The 18,600-nt window shown below is 35.5% G+C and overlaps 2 annotated features.

Annotated features, from left to right (window-relative positions):
* Positions 5,938-6,107: an enhancer, noted in NCBI's record as "experimental_75194 CRE fragment used in MPRA reporter constructs". NCBI's record gives its function as "activates a minimal promoter by MPRAs in K562 erythroleukemia cells, with activity observed for both the introgressed and non-introgressed 4:161955338 variant alleles {active_cell/tissue: K562}" and the evidence as "EXISTENCE:reporter gene assay evidence [ECO:0000049][PMID:34662402]".
* Positions 6,678-6,847: an enhancer, noted in NCBI's record as "experimental_75188 CRE fragment used in MPRA reporter constructs". NCBI's record gives its function as "activates a minimal promoter by MPRAs in K562 erythroleukemia cells, with activity observed for the non-introgressed 4:161954598 variant allele {active_cell/tissue: K562}" and the evidence as "EXISTENCE:reporter gene assay evidence [ECO:0000049][PMID:34662402]".

Genomic DNA, 18,600 nt, shown 5'->3' with positions numbered 1-18,600 from the left:
CTATTTTGCTTTATTGGTCTATGTGTCTATTGTTATGCCAACACCATGCTGATTTTATTATTATAGTTTTGTATTTTATTTTGAAGTCTGATAGTGTAATGCCTTCAGCTTTGTTCTTTTTGCTCAGGATTGCTTTGGGTATTCAGTGTCTGCCTTTTATGGGTTCATATAAATTTCATGATTTTTTTCTATTTCTGTGAATAATGTCATTGGTATTTTGATAAGGATTGCGTTGGATTGATAAATTGCTTTGGGTAGTATTGATACAAGAGTTAAGAAGTTACTTAGGTAGATAGTGAGGGTCCGGAAGTCCTCAGTAAGGTTTTCCTTTTAATAAAAAGCAGCCCCAAATGGTTTTCCTTTCTAACAAAGAGCAGCCTGTAAAATAGAGTTGCAGACATAGATGATGACAGTTGTGCCAATCATGTTCAAGATGGCAGCTCCATCTTCCCATTTCTTTGTCAGCCATACGTACAGTAAGGAGCAGAGAAGATGACACTAGTCAACTGGAAGGCTCATTTGGATTATAAGATTAAGCTGGGGCAGCCAGCCTTCCCTGCAAACTATATAAACGTCATACCTGATTTAACCAATCTGTGAGCCCTGTGTAAATCAGACACCACCTCCTCAAGCCTGACTGTAAAATCCAGTGCATCTGCTGTCGGCCCATCTTCCCATCAGCAGTTCCCACTCTCTAACTACAGAGAGAGCTGTTTTCATTTTCCTTTCTTCCTTTTTCTTTTGCGTATTAAACCTCTGCTCCTAAACTCCTCATGTGTGTCCATGTTCTAAGTTTTCCTAGCACGTGATGACAAACCCCAGGTACTAACCCCAGACAATGTAGCCGCTTTAGTATTGTTATTTTAACAATATTAATTCCTCCAATCATGAGCATGAAGTATTTTTCCATTTTTTGTGTCATCTTCAGTTTCTTTCCTCACTGTTTTATAGTTTTCCTTTTATATATCCTTCACTTATTTGGTTAAATTTATTCCTATGTATTTTTATTCTTTGTAGCTATTGTAAATGGACTACTTTCGAGTTCTTTTGCAGGTAGTTCACTGTTAGCATTTATATATCCTACTGATTTTACTGTGCTGCTTTTGTATCTTGCAACATCACTGGCTTCATTCCAACAGTTTTTTTTTAAGTCTTTAGGTTTTTCCAAATATAAGATTATGTCATCTGTGAACAATGCTAATTTGACATCTTCTTTTCCAATTTAGATGCCCTTCATTCATTTTCTTTCTTAATTGCCCTGGCCAGGACTTCTAGGATTCTGTTTAATATAAGTGGTGAAAGTGGGCATCCTTATCTTATTCCAGATCTTAGAGGAAAGGACTTCAATTTTTCTCCATGTTGTGTGATGTTAGCTTTGGGTTTGTCATATACAACCTTTATTATTTTGAGGTACATGCTTTCTATACACAATTTTTTGAGAATTTTTATCATAAAGGGATATTAAATATAACCAAATGCTTTTTAAGCATCTATTGAAATTATCATGTCTTTTATTCTTTATTCTCTTAACATAATGTATCACTTTTATTAATTTGCATATGTTAAACCATCCTTGCATCCCTGGGACAAATTCCATTAGATCATGGTAAATAATCTTTTTAAGGTGTTATTCAATTTGGTTTGCTAGTATCATGTTGAGAGTTTTTGCATCTATGTTAATCAGTAGTGATGGCCTGTAGATTTCTTTTTCTGTTGTTGTGTCCTTGTCTGGTTTTGGCATCATGGTAATGTTGGCCTTATAGAATTAGTTTGTAAGTATTCTCTCTTTAAAATTTTTCAAGAGCTTGAATAGATTTGATATTATTTCAGGAATGAAGGCATCAGGTGCTTGGCATTTCTTTGATGGAAGACATTTAAATATGGTTTTGATCTCATTAGTAACTGTTAGTGTGTTGAGGTTTCCTATTTTTTAAAGGTTCAATCTTAGTGAGTTGTATATGTCCAAAATTTTATCCATTTCTTCTGTGTTTTCCAATTTGTTGGAATATCATTGTTTATAATAGTGTCTAATGAGTCTTTATATTTCTGTGACATTAGTTGTTATGCCTGCTGTTTTGTTTTTGATTTTATTTTTATGGCTCTTATCTGTTTTTTAATCTTAGCTAGTGATATGGTTTGCATTCGTGTCCTCACCCAAATCTCATGTTGAATTGTAATCCCCAATGTTGGAGCAGGGGTCTAATGGGAGGTAATTTGATCATGGGGGTGGATTTCCCCCTTGCTGTTCTCAAGACAGTGAGTGAATTCTTAAATATCTGGTTGTTTGAAAGTGTGTAGCGCATCCTCCTTCACTCTATTTCTCCAGCTCTGACCACGTAAGACATGCCTGCTGCCCCTTTGCCTTCTGCCATGATTTTAAGTTTCCTGAGGCCTCCCCAGAAGAAGAAGACTGTAGAGTCTGCAGAACTGTGAGCCAATTAAACTTATTTTCTTTATTAATTGCCCAGTCTCAGGTAGTCCTTTATAACAGTGCAAGAATGGACTAATACAAGGTAGTATTGCTAAAGTTTTGTCAATTTTGATTATCTTTTCAAAAAATCAATGTTTCATCTCATTGATTTTTTCCATCTTTTTTTAGTTTCAATTTTATTTATATCTCTTTGATGTTTATTATGACTTTTGTTCTACTAATTTGGGGTTTGGTTTTGTTGGTTTTACTTTTCTACTTCCTGAGGTACATCATTAGCTTTTTAATTTAAAGTCTTTTTACTTTTTTCAGATATGTGTTTATTATTATAACATCTCTCTTACTACTGCTTTTGCTGTATCCCATAGATTTTGATATGTTGGATTTTTACTTTCATTATTCAATAAAAGCTCTAAATGTCCTTCTTAATTTCTTCACTGACTTATTGGTTTTTCAGGAGCATGTTATTTAATTTCCATGTGGTTATGCACTTTCCGGGGTTCGTATTATTGATTTCTAGTTTTATTTCACGGTGACCAGAAAAAGATTTGAAATTGAGACTTGTTTTGTGGCCTAATATATGTTCTATTCTGGAGAATGTTTTCTTCGCTGATGAAGAGAAATAGTATTCTGTAGCAGTTGGGTAAAATATTCTGTAAATGTCATTTAGGCCTATGTGGGCTAGTGTGTAGTTTAACACCAATGTTTCCTTCTTGATTTTCTGCCTGGATGGTATGTTCATTACTGAGAGTGGGCTGTTAAAATTCCCTATTATTATAGTATGCAGTCTATCCATATATATATATATATATATATATATATATATATATATATATATATATATATATATATATATATTAGACACAATATAATATATATATAATAGACATAATATATAATTGTATATATATATTATATATATAATAGACAGCAGGCATGTCTTACGTGGTCAGAGCTGGAGGAAGAGAGTGAAAGAGGATGCACTACACATTTTCAAATAATATATATATATATAATGTTATATATATATAAAAGTGTTTGCTTTATATACTTGGTTGCTCTGATATTCAATGCAGAAATATGCATAATTTTTATATATCCTTGCTGAATTGTCCCTTTTGTCATGATATAGTGACTTTCTTTGTACTTTTTTCAGTCTTTGACACATTTTTATTTTATCTGATGTAAGTATAGCTAGTCTTGCTCTTTTTTGTTTTCCATTTGCTGGGAATATTTTTTCCTTTTTTTTTTTTTTTTCACTTTCTCGGATGTGTGTCTTTACAGGTAAAGTGGTTTTCCTGTAGCCAGCATGTAGTTGGGTCTTGCTGCTTTATACATTCAGCCACTCTGTGTCTGTTAATTGGAAAACTGCGTCTATTAACATTCAATTTTCTTATTGATAAGTAAGGAGTACCATGTTGTTTGTTTTTTGGGTTGTTTTATAACTCCTCTTCCTTTCTTTCATTCTCACTCTCTTCCTTTCTTTCATTCTTACTGTCTTCCTTTGTAGTTAAGTGATTTTCCCTGGTAGAATGTTTAATTTGTTACTGTTTTAAAAAAAATACATGCTACAGGTTTTTGCAATGTGATTTCCATGAGGCTTAGGAAAAAACATCTTATAGATGTAATGACTTATTTTAAAGAGATCACAACTTAAAACAAAGAATAGAAACAAAGAATAAAAAAACAATGAAAAAAAAGAAACAATGAAAAAAAACCTGTGCATTTCAACATCATGTCCCATACATTTTGTTTTATGTTGTCTCAATTTACATATTTTTATAATGCCTACTCTGAACAGGTTGCTATAGTTATTATTGTTTCCAATTGATCTGTCTCCTGCCAGGGAATTGACGATGATGGAGAGGCTGGTTGTCTGTCTCAATCTCACTCTTTTCATTGTAGGAACCATGAGTTGGGAAGGAAGTTTTCCTGAGCTTGATGCTGAGCAGTTTTGGAGAAGGAGTGTTTTGGACGTGGTAGTCCAATTCTTCTACCTTCTGCTTTTTTTTCCCCCTTTCTATGGCCCCAAGAACTACGTCCACTTCATATTTGAGTTCAGGGATACTGCTGGTGATAATCTTGGAACTGTATTCTTGGTTTTGGTTTTCTGTGGGGGTGAGTGAAGCCAGCTTGGTTCCACATTGCCATTTGGAACCAAAAGTCCCATTCCACCTTTTTATCAGCAGCCTAAATTCATTTTGAGGAATCCAACATAGTATATATACTATATACTATGTATATTTGGAGTAGATTTGGAGAAATATGAATCCAGCTACCTACCCTCTCTCCATGGAAAACAAAAGGTTTCTTGGAGACATTCTATGGTGCTTCTTCTCATGCTCCTGGTACAGCCAAGGCAAAGGCACATTCAACCAGATACTCGACGATGATCTTGAGAGGATGATAGGAATCATTTTTGCTAGTACAATAGGTTAAACACACAGCTCCTGTTATGTAGTTGTTTCTTCCTACCCTCCTGAGCTGCCTCAATTTTATGTAATTTTCAAATCTAATTTTTCAGCCTTATCATTCAATTTCAGAGCTTTTAATAGGTTTATAATAATAACTAATTTGGTAAGATAGCCAGAATCATAATTTCCCTTGCTTGTACGCAAATCATAATTTATATTTCTGTCTCACAATCTTTCTTCCTATGTGCCATGGCAAATGCTATTTAAGAGCCTCCACATATTTACAGATATACATAAATGAAGAGGATATATTTTGTATGTAATACTGAGAAACAAAATTATTTGAATAAAAAGTGTTTTTTTTTTTAGGAATCACTCCTCATGATTTTGGATAAGCTAAAAAAGAACAGAGTATAAAAGAGAATAAATATTGAAGTTAACATTTAAGATATCAAAATTAATCTTGTCATGGAGTATTAATAATACATCAAGTTTCCCTTAATTGCAATAAATAATGACAATAATAATGATAAAAATAAAAGGTGATTTCTACCAAATATTAAGTCACAAACTATAGTCATATTAAATTTGCATATAAATTATTTGTAAAGCAGTGGTGTACTTTGCAAAATATGTACAAACCACAATCCACAATAATGAAAATATTAACAGTCATCCAGGGAAATAACTTTTATGGATTTACATAAACTCTGCATTTTCATATATGTATCTGTTAAGAAGGCCACATCAATAATTTATGAATAATGTATGTTCTTAAATACAGCAATTAACAGATTTCATTATAATACTAACAATTACCAATAATGCAAGTGACATGTCTGTTTTATTACATGTATAACTTCCACCATTTAATAGTAAAAAAATCATATTATATAAAAGTACAATATTCAATATTAAATAAAGACTTAATTTTATAACTTTGATTTCAGCAAAGAGAGTTGAATCTCTCCCTTTATTTTACTATTGTTCTATCTGCCTTTTTCTTTCATTACTTTACATGCTCCAGAATTATTTATACAATCTCCTGTGTCTTGTCTCTTCAGCTGGTAGTCCTGTTAAGATTTTCCCACCTTATCATTAAATAGTAATCGTATATGGAAGATGAAAACAGGAAAGTAAGCATACAATCTATCAAATTAGAGTAAATATCTCCAATAGTATATAAAAAAGACAACACGGGGCATATAAAAAGTTTTCTTTATGGAGAAAATGGTCAGAGAGGTCACAGCCTTAATGTTGAATAGTATTTCATTTGAAGCTGAAAGGAATAGGAAAATATTCTTTATAGTGCATTGTAATATTAGTAAAAGCAATAACAGGGTAAAAGCAAAACTGAGCTCTAAGTGCTACCTATGGAAATACATACATAAAAATGATGGTGATACAAGATTGAGGAAAGTTTGAACACTCGACAAAGTAGGTTTTATTTTATAATGTAAGCCATGGAAACTCTGGAAACTCATTTAATCAATGTCTTCTTCCTTAGCATCTTGCTTCTCCCTTCTCACCCTCCTTGGATAATGCTAACAACTCTCAAAATACCATTTGAGCTTTCCCATTCCCCACTGAAAACCAGAGAGATGGAATAAAGAGATGTTCTGCCCTGAAGAGAGCATGCAAAGCAATATTGTTAAAGAATTTGCCCTCTGCTTGATTCCCTGTTGAAGCTCAATCTGGTCAAGCCAACCTATACACGTTTTGCATTTTTCATAGCCTGGTAAAAATACTTTATTTTACTATATATCCAGACAACAATGTGAGAAAATAATATAATCAATAAAATAGTAGTCTATTTTAGTAGGAATGAGTGTGTAGTTATTTATTATATTTATCCACTGTCAGAAAAGTTGAAACTCAGAGTAATTTTCCTGTGAGTATGAAAAATGTCATTCAAGTAATATTAACTACTACTAACATTGATTCTCTGCGCTATTGAATGACATCAAATATAGAAAATAAATCTCTTAGTAGAATTAAGCTACATGAATGACCTTATTTCAAAAAAGTTGTGTTTGATTCTGCATTTAAATAAGTTGTCCATATTCTAGTAACTTCAATTAAATATGTAATATTGTCTTAATGATTATTTTTATTTTATACTCAAGTCTGGCATTTTAAGCTCTTCAGTTACATAACTACATTAGATATAATTAATTATAGACTACCTACAATGGAGTGTGCAAATGAAAGCTTCTATTCACTCATTTATTCGTAAAATATTTTAGACTTGCTGTTTGACAAATGCTGCCATAGGAACTATGGATACAGGGTAGATATGATAGGCTAAATACCTATTCTTATGGATTTTTATTTTATAACCTTAGGTTTTCTTGTCCTTATACTTCTTTATATCCAAATATATATGCATAGAATTATAATGTTTCTCAGGAAAAATGACCTAGCATTTTGATATGCACTTTTAATTCATCAAGACTGTAAAAACGTTGCTTTCTATAACATAAATCAGTCATAGAAAGAATCTTTCAAACACTCCACCATCAAGATATCTCTATATTCCTTTGTTTTGAAGTTCTTATTACTTTTGAAACCTTGAATTTCCATATATATCTTCCCATTGTAAAATTATACAATGTTATTTTTATGTACTCTATACTCATATTTTTCTTCTCCAACAGAGTAGCACAAAAGGAGCCACAAATCTATTTCTATGACTACTGCCACTACGAGTAGAATAATAATTATTATCATAATAATGACAAATTCACTAACCTTTTCTATCGTCACCTTCAGTCTGTTTAGTTAAAGAATATTTGCCAACCCTACGGAATGATCAAAAACTGACTGACAGGGCATTAGAGACTTTATAGAAGCTGCCTATCTCAACTTAATATTTTCTAACTTTTTCTAGGGTGGTCTTACTCAGAAATTCAATCCTGCTTGATGGAGGATGCTAATATTACCACTTAAAATAGGGAAAAAACATCTTTCATCTTTCAAATTGTCTATATTATAATACTTTTCAAACATACCTAGTTTCATTGTGCTCTGCTTTACTGTGTTTAACAGATAGTGCATTTTTGTTTTTAACAAACCAAAGGTTTGTGACAACCCTATATCAAGCAATTCTATCGGTGCCATTTTTTTCTAACAGCATGTGTTTACTTTGTGTCTCTGTGTCACATTTTGGCAATTCCGATATATTTCAAACTTTTTCATTATTAGTATATCTGTTATGGTGAGCTGTGCTTAGTGATCTTTGTTGTTGCTATTGTAATTGTTTTGGGGCGCCACAAACTGTGCCTATATAAGACTGCAAACTTGATTGTTCAATGCTGTGTATTCCGACTGTATCATTGACTAGAACTTCCCTTAGCTCTCTCCTTCTTCTTGGGCCTTTCTATTTTCTGAGACACAATAACACTAAAATTAAGCCAATTAATAACCCTAGAGTGACTTCTAAGTGTTCAAGTGAAAGGAAGAGTCTCATGTCTCTCACTTTAAATCAGAAGCTAAAAATAATTTAGCTTATTAAGGAAGGTATGCCAAAAGCCAAAAAAGGCTCAAAGTTAGGCTTCTTGCATTAACCAGTTAGCCATGTTGTAAATGAAAAGGAAAAGTTCTTAAAAATAATTGAATGTGCACCTCTAATGAAAATGTGCATGATAAGAAAGTAAAATAGCATTATTGATGAACAAACTTTTTGTTGTCTAAATAGAAGATTAAACTGGTCATAGCATTCCTTTAAGCTAAAAAACTTAATTCAGAGCAAGACCCTAGCTCTGTTCAATTCTCTGAAGGCTGAAATAAGTGAGACAGCTGCAGAAGCAAAGTTTGAAGGTAGCAGAAATTGGTTCATGATGTTTCAGAAAATAATTTGTTTCATAACATAAAAGTGCGAGGTGAAGCAGCAAGTGCTGATGGAGAAGTTGCAAGTTTTCCTGAAGATATAGCTAAGGTAATTGGTAAGGATGGCTACACTAATCAGCAGATTTTTAATGTAGACCAAACAGCCTTCCATTGGAAAAACATGCCATCTAGGACTTTTCATAGCTAGACAGAAGTCAATGACTAGCTTCAAAGCTTCAAAGAACAGGTTGACTCTCTTACTGGGGGCTAATGTGGCTGGCAACTTTAAGTTGGAGCCAATGCTGATTTGTCATTCTGAAAATCCTAGGACCTTTAAGAATTATGCTAAATTTACTTTACCCTTGCTCCATAAATGAAACAACAAAGCCTGGATAACAGTACATCTTTTTGCAGCATGATTTACTGAATATTTTAAGCCCACTGTTGAGAGCTACTGCTCATGAGAAAAAGATCCTCTTCAAAATATAAGTGCTCATTGACAATGCACCTTTCTCACCAAAGAGCTCTGATGGAGATGTACACAGAGGTTAATGTTATTCTTTTTCTTTTAATTATACTTTAAGTTTTAGGGAACATGTGCACAATGTGCAGGTTAGTTACATATGAATACATGTGCCATGCTGTGCGCTGCACCCACTAATTCGTCATCTAGCATTACGTATATCTCCCAGTGCTATCCCTCTCCCCTACCCCACAACAGACCCCAGAGTGTGATGTTCCCCTTCCTGTGTCCATGTGTTCTCATTGTTCAATTCCCACCTATGAGTGAGAATATGCGGTGTTTGGTTTTTTGTTCTTGCGATAGTTTACTGAGAATGATGATTTCCAATTTCATCCATGTCCCTACAAAGGACATGAACTCATCATTTTTTATGGCTGCTTAGTATTCCATGGTGTATATGTGCCACATTTTCTTAATCCAATCTATCATTGTTGGACATTTGCATTGGTTCCAAGTCTTTGCTATTGTGAATAGTGCTGCAATAAACATACGTGTGCATGTGTCTTTATAGCAGCATGATTTATAGTCCTTTGGGTATATACCCAGTAATGGGATGGCTGGGTCAAATGGTATTTCTCTTTCTAGATCCCTGAGGAATCGCCACACTGACTTCCACAATGGTTGAACTAGTTTACAGTCCCACCAACAGTGTAAAAGTGTTCCTATTTCTCCACATCCTCTCCAGCACCTGTTGTTTCCTGACTTTTTAATGATTGCCATTCTAACTGGTGTGAGATGGTATCTCATTGTGGTTTTGATTTGCATTTCTCTGATGGCCAGTGATGGTGAGCATTTTTTCATGTGTTTTTTGGCTGCATAAATGTCTTCTTTTGAGAATTGTCTGTTCATGTCCTTCACCCACTTTTTGATGGGGTTGTTTTTTTCTGGTAAATTTGTCTGAGTTCATTGTAGATTCTGGATATTAGCCCCTTGTCAGATGAGTAGGTTGTGAAAATTTTCTCCCATTTTGTAGGTTGCCTGTTCACTCTGATGGTAGTTTCTTTTGCTGTGCAGAAGCTCTTTAGTTTAATTAGATCCCATTTGTCAATTTTGTCTTTTGTTGCCATTGCTTTTGGTGTTTTAGACATGAAGTCCTTGCCCATGCCTATGTCCTGAATGGTAAAGCCTAGGTTTTCTTCTAGGGTTTTTATGGTTTTAGGTCTAACGTTTAAGTCTTTAATCCATCTTGAATTGATTTTTGTAGAAGGTGTAAGGAAGGGATCCAGTTTCAGCTTTCTACATATGGCTAGCCAGTTTTCCCAGCACCATTTATTAAATAAGGAATCCTTTCCCCATTGCTTGTTTTTGTCAGGTTTGTCAAAGATCAGATAGTTGTAGATATGTGGCATTATTTCTGAGGGCTCTGTTCTGTTCCATTGATCTATATCTCTGTTTTGGTACCAGTTTTGGTACCAGTACCATGCTGTTTCGGTACCAGTACCATGCTGTTTTGGTTACTGTAGCCTTGTAGTATAGTTTGAAGTCAGGTAGTGTGATGCCTCCAGCTTTGTTCATTTGACTTAGGATTGACTTGGCGATGCGGGCTCTTTTTTGGTTCCATATGAACTTTAAAGCAGTTTTTTCCAATTCTGTGAAGAAACTCATTGGTAGCTTGATGGGGATGGCATTGAATCTATAAATTACCTTGGGCAGTATGGCCATTTTCACGATATTGATTCTTCCTACCCATGAGCATGGAATGTTCTTCCATTGTTTGTATCCTCTTTTATTTCCTTGAGCAGTGGTTTGTAGTTCTCCTTGAAGAGGTCATTCACATCCCTTGTAAGTTGGATTCCTAGGTATTTTATTCTCTTTGAAGCAATTGTGAATGGGAGTTCACTCATGATTTGGCTCTCTGTTTGTCTGTTGTTGGTGTATAAGAATGCTTGTGATTTTTGTACATGGATTTTTGTATCCTGAGACTTTGCTGAAGTTGCTTATCAGCTTAAGGAGATTTTGGGCTGAGACAATGGGGTTTTCTAGATATACAATCATGTCATCTGCAAACAGGGACAATTTGACTTCCTCTTTTCCTAATTGAATACCCTTTATTTCCTTCTCCTGCCTAATTGCCCTGGCCGGAACTTCCAACACTATGTTGAATAGGAGTGGTGAGAGAGGGCATCCCTGTCTTGTGCAGTTTTCAAAGGGAATGCTTCCAGTTTTTGCCCATTCAGTATGATATTGGCTGTGGGTTTGTCATAGACAGCTCTTATTATTTTGAGATACGTCCCATCAATAACTAATTTATTGAGAGTTTTTAGCATGAAGCGTTGTTGAATTTTGTCAAAGGCCTTTTCTGCATCTTTGAGATAATCATGTGGTTTTTGTCCTTGGTTCTGTTTATATGCTGGATTACATTTATTGATTTGCGTATATTGAACCAGCCTTGCATCCCCGGGATGAAGCCCACTTGATCATGGTGGATAAGCTTTTTGATGTGCTGCTGGATTCGGTTTGCCAGTATTTTATTGAGGATTTTTGCATCAATGTTCATCAAGGACATTGGTTTAAAATTCTCTTTTTTGGTTGTGTCTCTGCCCGGCTTTGGTATCAGGATGATGCTGGCCTCATAAAATGAGTAAGGGAGGATTCCCTCTTTTTCTATTGATTGGAATAGTTTCAGAAGGAATGGTACCAGTTCCTCCTTGTACCTGTGGTAGAATTCGGCTGTGAATCCATCTGGTCCTGGAGTCTTTTTGGTTGGTAAGCTATTGATTATTGCCTCAATTTCAGCTCCTGTTATTGATCTATTCAGAGATTCAACTTCTTCCTGGGTTAGTCTTGGGAGAGTGTATGTGTCAAGGAATTTATCCATTTCTTCTAGATTTTCTAGTTTATTTGCATAGAGGTGTTTGTAGTATTCTCTGATGGTAGTTTGTATTTCTGTGGGATCGGTGGTCATATCCCCTTTATCATTTTTTATTGCGTCTATTGGATTCTTCTCTCTTTTCTTCTGTATTAGTCTTGCTAGTGGTCTATCAATTTTGTTGATCCTTTCAAAAAACCAGCTCCTGGATTCATTAATTTTTTGAAGGGTTTTTTTGTGTCTCTATTTCCTTCAGTTCTGCTCTGGTTTTAGTTATTTCTTGCCTTCTGCTAGCTTTTGAATGTGTTTGCTCTTGCTTTTCTAGTTCTTTTAATTGTGAGGTTAGGATGTCAATTTTGGATCTTTCCTGCTTTCTCTTGTGGGCATTTAGTGCTATAAATTTCCCTCTACACACTGCTTTGAATGTGTCCCAGAGATTCTGGTATGTTGTGTCTTTGTTCTCGTTGGTTTCAAAGAACATCTTTATTTCTGCCTTCATTTCGTTATGTACCCAGTAGTCATTCAGGAACAGGTTGTTTCAGTTTCCATGTAGCTGAGCAGTTTTGAGTGAGTTTCTTAATCCTGAGTTCAAGTTTGATTGCACTGTGGTCTGAGAGATAGTTTGTTATAATTTCTGTTCCTTTACATTTGCTGAGGAGAGCTTTACTTCCAACTATGTGGTCAATTTTGGAGTAGGTGTGGTGTGGTGCTGAAAAAAATGTATATTCTGTTGATTTGGGGTGGAGAGTTCTGTAGATGTCTATTAGGTATGCTTGGTGCAGAGCTGAGTTCAATTCCTGGGTATCCTTGTTAACTTTCTGTCTCATTGATCTGTCTAATGTTGACAGTGGGGTGTTAAAGTCTCCCATTACTAATGTGTGGGAGTCTAAGTCTCTTTGTAGGTCACTCAGGACTTGCTTTATGAATCTGGGTGCTCCTGTATTGGGTGCATATATATTTAGGATAGTTAGCTCTTGTTGTTGAATTGATCCCTTTACCATTATGTAATGGCCTTCTTTGTCTCTTTTGATCTTTGTTGGTTTAAAGTCTGTTTTATCAGAGACTGGGATTGCAACCCCTGCCTTGTTTTGTTTTCCATTTGCTTGGTAGATCTTCCTCCATCCTTTTATTTTGAGCCTATGTGTGTCTCTGCATGTGAGATGGGTTTCCTGAATACAGCACACTGATGGGTCTTGACTCTTTATCCAATTTGCCAGTCTGTGTCTTTTAATTGGAGCATTTAGTCCATTTACATTTAAAGTTAATATTGTTATGTGTGAATTTGATCCTATCATTATGATGTTAGCTGGTTATTTTGCTCGTTAGTTGATGCAGTTTCTTCCTAGTCTCGATGGTCTTTACATTTTGGCATGATTTTGCAGCGGCTGGTACCGATTGTTCCTTTCTATGTTTAGTGCTTCCTTCAGGAGCTCTTTTAGGGCTTTTATGCCTGCTAACAGAATATAAATTCTGTAGCCCATGTATCAAGGAGGAGTTTTGACGTCCGAGTCTTATTATTTAAGGAATACATTTGTAAGTCCATAGTTGCCACTGATAGTGATTCTTCTATAGAATGTGCACAAAGTAAATTAAAAACCTTCTGGAAAGAATTCACCATTTTTGATGCCACTAAGATCATTCATGATTTATGGGAGGAGGTCAACATAATAACATTAATAGGAGTTTGGAGAAAGTTGTTTCTCATCCTCCTGGATGACTTTAAGGGGTTCAAGGCTTCGGTGAAGGAAGTAACTAGATGTGGTGAAAATAGCAAGAGAACTAGAATTAGAAGTAAAGCCTGAACATGTCACTGAATTGCTGTGTTCTCATACAGGTATTTCCAGGTACCTGTTATTTTTCGTATAGTTTGACTACTGATTTTTAACTGTTTGCTAGTTATTTATTCACATAACCAAAAGTGCTTTTATTTTTCAAAAAAATCTAAGAATATTTTCCTTGTTGACTCCTACTCTGTCACATCTAATTGTTAAATTTAGGTAATTTTCCTTTGAAGATAAATTTGAACTTATTATATTTTATTCTTTTATGCACTTTTTGACATCAAAGGAGAAATGACACCCTCATCTGTAAAATTACTGAACCCGTAAGCTTCTCGTGCCTCACATTGCTGAACTCAAATAACTGTGGAATGAGATATGAAATTTATTTTATCAACCCTGTGGTTCACAAACCATGTCTAGTTTCCAGATTTCCCACACTTAAATTCTCAATAGTGGGGTAAAATCTTAAGTTAATTTGGATGTTAGCATTTGTGGGTCAACAATCCTCTATAGATCCTATTCTCGAGGAAAGCCAAGGTATGTATGAAATTTGTTTTGTGGGAAGGGAGACATGGGGGAAAGAATGAAACTAAGCCAGTTTTGAAGTACAAGATGGAGAGCAATGTTTTCATCACTACTATTCTATCTCTCTAGATGTTAATAACCAAGAAATTTCTATATCTACTCACTGTAACAGGGAAGATTCTTGAAATGATAATTTCTGTTCTAGAAGTTTCAGTCAGCCACACGACCCTAAATCTTTTGCATGCTTATTTTTGCACCAGAAGTCCTTGGGGCCAGCAAACCTTTGGATTGGTGAATGATGTAAGAATTACACAGCTCAAGGAGAACCTCCAAAAACATGAGTACATCAGAGAGTTTATAAAACAGAAAATATTTTTGGTATCTGAGTCCTCTTGAAGGTGGTTGTAGGCGATAGGATTAGAGATCTGAGCACAATGTAGATATATATTTCCCTCATACATTTTGAAAATCAAGAAAAAGTTAAGTCTCACAAAGCACACCATGCCATAATGGAGTAACTCCAAATAAAAGCAGAAAAAGTTCATGTTATCAAAAGAAAATGTGAGATTGGCCCCTCCACTGGTAGCTTCCTGTAGCTTCAGAGAGAGCTGGAGATTAGACATAATTCAAATATTTCCAGGGTCTATATTTGAGCCGTCCATACCAAAATATCGGTCAGAACTCGGCTGCACTTCCCAATGGATCCCATGGTTCAGATGAGGAAGATGTCTAGCAAGTGAAGGCCAAAGTGGGATTAGCAGGTTCTCTAGTCTAAGTAAAAGAAATATAGAGGCCAGTGTCCTAAAGATATCAGTGCAGACGAGGGAAGACAAGGATAATCTAAATATAAAATTCTAAGAAATTAGTTAACCCTAAGACTTAGGGTTAAAAGGATAAGGGGGAGAGAGCAATACTGAATGAACTAAAGATTAATGCCAAACAAATCAATTTTAACCTTGAAGTAATTTTTTAAATTTCAGAATCGGAGTAAGGAAATACATTGAAATTGCTAGATTAAGTTATCTTGCTAGAGAACTGAGCATGAATTAAGTTTATTATATAACCACAAATAAGGTGCTTCTCTTCCGTGAACACCTGAGTTTTGACTGTGGATCACGTACATTTCTTTCTTTCTTTTTTTTTTTTTTTTTTGAGACGGGGTCTCGCTCTGTCGCCCAGGCCCAGGCTGGAGTGCAGTGGCACGATCTCGACTCACTGCAAGCTCCGCCTCCCGGGTTCACACCATTCTCCTGCCTCAGCCTCCCAAGTAGCTGGGACTACAGGCACCCACCACTGCACGTGGCTAATTTTTTGTATTTTTAGTCTAGATGGGGTTTCACCATGTTAGCCAGGATGGTCTCGATTTCCTGACCTCGTGATCCGCCCACCTCGGCCTCCCAAACTGCTGGGATTACAGGCATGAGCTACTGCGCCTGGCGTGATCACATACATTTCTACACTCTGTTTTTCAGTTTTACCCAGGATTGTTTTGTCTTTTAAAATTTCCCTCTGATTCTTGTTCATTTAACCTCCACAGAAACTCATGGCTCTCAAGTTGCATGATGCATTAGCTATAACACTATGATTCTGCCTGTTTCTCTCAAAAAATGCCTTGTTCTGGACCTTTCTCGCCTTTCATCATAATTGCATTTACTCCATCAAAATTTACATGCCCTGTGTGCCATTATTTCTGACTAAGAAAAAAATCAATTCCAAGCCTGCCATATAAATAATTAAAAAGGTACCAGGGTTACTTACCCTAGGATGCCTGTGGCCTTTAGTTATTTAGACAGCAGTTATTTTGAAATGGAATTTGATAAGGTATCTTCAATTGAAAGTTGCAGCATTATATCTGCACTTCGGACTTAAAATGTAAAGAGATGTCATTAACCCTACTTCAGGACTAAGAAATGCTAGAGAACCCACTAACATTGTCTTATTCGATGCACTTCCCACTGCCTACATGCAGGTATGATGCCTTGAAGTGTGGCAAATATTAACAAGGATCTAAATTGTTAATTTTTTTGACGTGCATTAATTTCTACTTTAAAGACTGAAACATTAGAAAATAATAAACAGAAACTTACTGTCTTGTTCACACTATATTTTATTTAAACCATTTCATTGTATATGATAGTGTGGTTTTATTACACTCTGAGAAGGGCACTTACCTTTTTCTCGTAGTATACACATAAATGCAGTCATGCACCACATAACAACATTTTGGTCAATGATGGTCTGCATATACAACAGTGGTCCCATAATATTAAAGCTGAAACTTAATTTTGCTTAGTAACATCTTGATGATTCTCACCCTGTATTGGCATCTACTAATATGTGTGTTTGTGTTTTAGTTTTTAAGAAAAAAGTTTTAAAAGTAAAATAAATAGTTTAAAAATTTAAAAAGCTTATAAAATAAGAATATAAAGAAAAAACCTGTGTTGATGTATAAAGCGGTTGTGTTTTAAATTAAGTGTTAAAAGACAAAAAGTTAAAACAATTAGAAAGTTTATTAAAAATTACAGCAAGCTGGCATGGCATGGTGGCACACACCTGTAATCCCAGCACGTTGAGAGGCGGAGGCGGTGGATTGCCTGAGGTCAGGAGTTCGCGACCAGCCTAATGTGGTGAAACCTCCTCTCTACTAAATACAAAAAAAGTAGCCGGTGTTGTTGGCGCATGCCTGTAATCCAAGCTACTTGGGAGGCTGAGACAGGAGAATTGCTTGTACCTGGGAGGCAGAGATTGCAGTTAGCTGAGATGGCCCCATTGCACCCCAGCCTGGGCAAGAAGAGCGGAACTCCGTCTCAAAAAAGAAAAAAAAGAAAAAGAAAAAATTACAGCAAGCTAAATTCAATTTGTTACTAAAGAATTAAAAATACACATTATAGGCCGGGTGCGGTGGCTCACGCCCATAATTCCATCACTTTGGGAGGCCGAGGTGGGCTGATCACGAGGTCAGGAAATCGAGACCATCCTGGCTAACACGGTGAAACCCCGTCTCTACTAAAACTACACAAAATTAGCCGGGTGTGGCGGCGGGCTCCTGTAGTCCCAGCTACTCGGGAGGCTGAGGCAAGAGAATCCCTTGAACCCGGCAGGTGGAGCTTGCAGTGAGTCGAGATCACACCACTACACTCCAGCCTGGGTGACAGAGCGAGACTCCGTCTCAAAAAAAAAAAAAAAAATATATATATATATGTGTATACATACATACGTATATGTGTATATACACATATACGTATGTATGTATACACATGTACATGTGTATATATAAACTTAGTGTAGCTTAAGTATCTAGGGTTTATAAAATCTACAGTGTTTATAAAGTCTACAGTAGTGCTAGGGTCCTAGACCTTCACATTCACTCAGCACTAACTCCCTGACTTACTCAGAGAAAATTTCAGTCCTGCAAGCTCCATTCATGGTAAGTTTATGTTTTTATTTGTATTTTTATTTTTATTTTTTGAGATGGAGTCTTGCTCAGTAGCCCAGGCTAGAGTGCAATGGCGCAATATCTGCTCACTGCAAGCTCTGCCTCTCTGGTTCACGCCATTCTCCTGCCTCAGCCTCCCAAGTAGCTGGGACTACAGGCGCCCAGCACCACGCCTGGCTAATATTTTTTGTATTTTTAGTAGAGACGGGGTTTCACCGTGTCAGCCAGGATGATCTCGATTTCCTGACCTCGTGATCCGCCCATCTCGGCCTCCCAAAGTGCCGGGATTACGAGCGTGAGCCACTGGGCCGGGCCTCATGGTAAATTTTTTATACAAGTGCAGCATTTTTTCTTGTGTATAGTTGTTCGCATTACCCTATAATTATTCTTTTTATTTTGTGCATCAACTGATGTCTCTTTCTGATATCTGATTTTATTTATATGACTTCTTTCATTTTTTCACAGTCTAACTTCGCCAATTTTATTATTTCAAATATCCAAGTCAATTATTTTATAAAAATTATTTTTCTATTCTCCATTTATTTTGCCTTACCCTTTATCATTTCTTTTCTTTTCTGAATTTGTGGCATAGTTTGTCTTATTTTCTGGTTCTTCAAGGTAAGTTTAGGTTGCTTATTTGATGTCCTTCTTTAATGTAGGTACTTATCATGATAAACTTCTCCCTTAGAACTACTTTTGCTATATTTCATAATTTTGCTATATTTCATAGATTTGTTTTTGTTTTAATTTTTTAAGTTATTCTCTAATTTCCCTTTTGATTTCTTCTTTTACCCATTGATCACTCAAGAGTATGTTGCTTTAACATATTTGTGAATTTACAATATTCTATTTTTGA

This window comes from Homo sapiens, chromosome 4 (assembly GCF_000001405.40).
Source record: "Homo sapiens chromosome 4, GRCh38.p14 Primary Assembly".
Classification (NCBI taxonomy): domain Eukaryota; kingdom Metazoa; phylum Chordata; class Mammalia; order Primates; family Hominidae; genus Homo; species Homo sapiens.
Note: the sequence above shows the minus strand (reverse complement) of the source record. Positions and strands in the feature narration are given on the sequence as shown.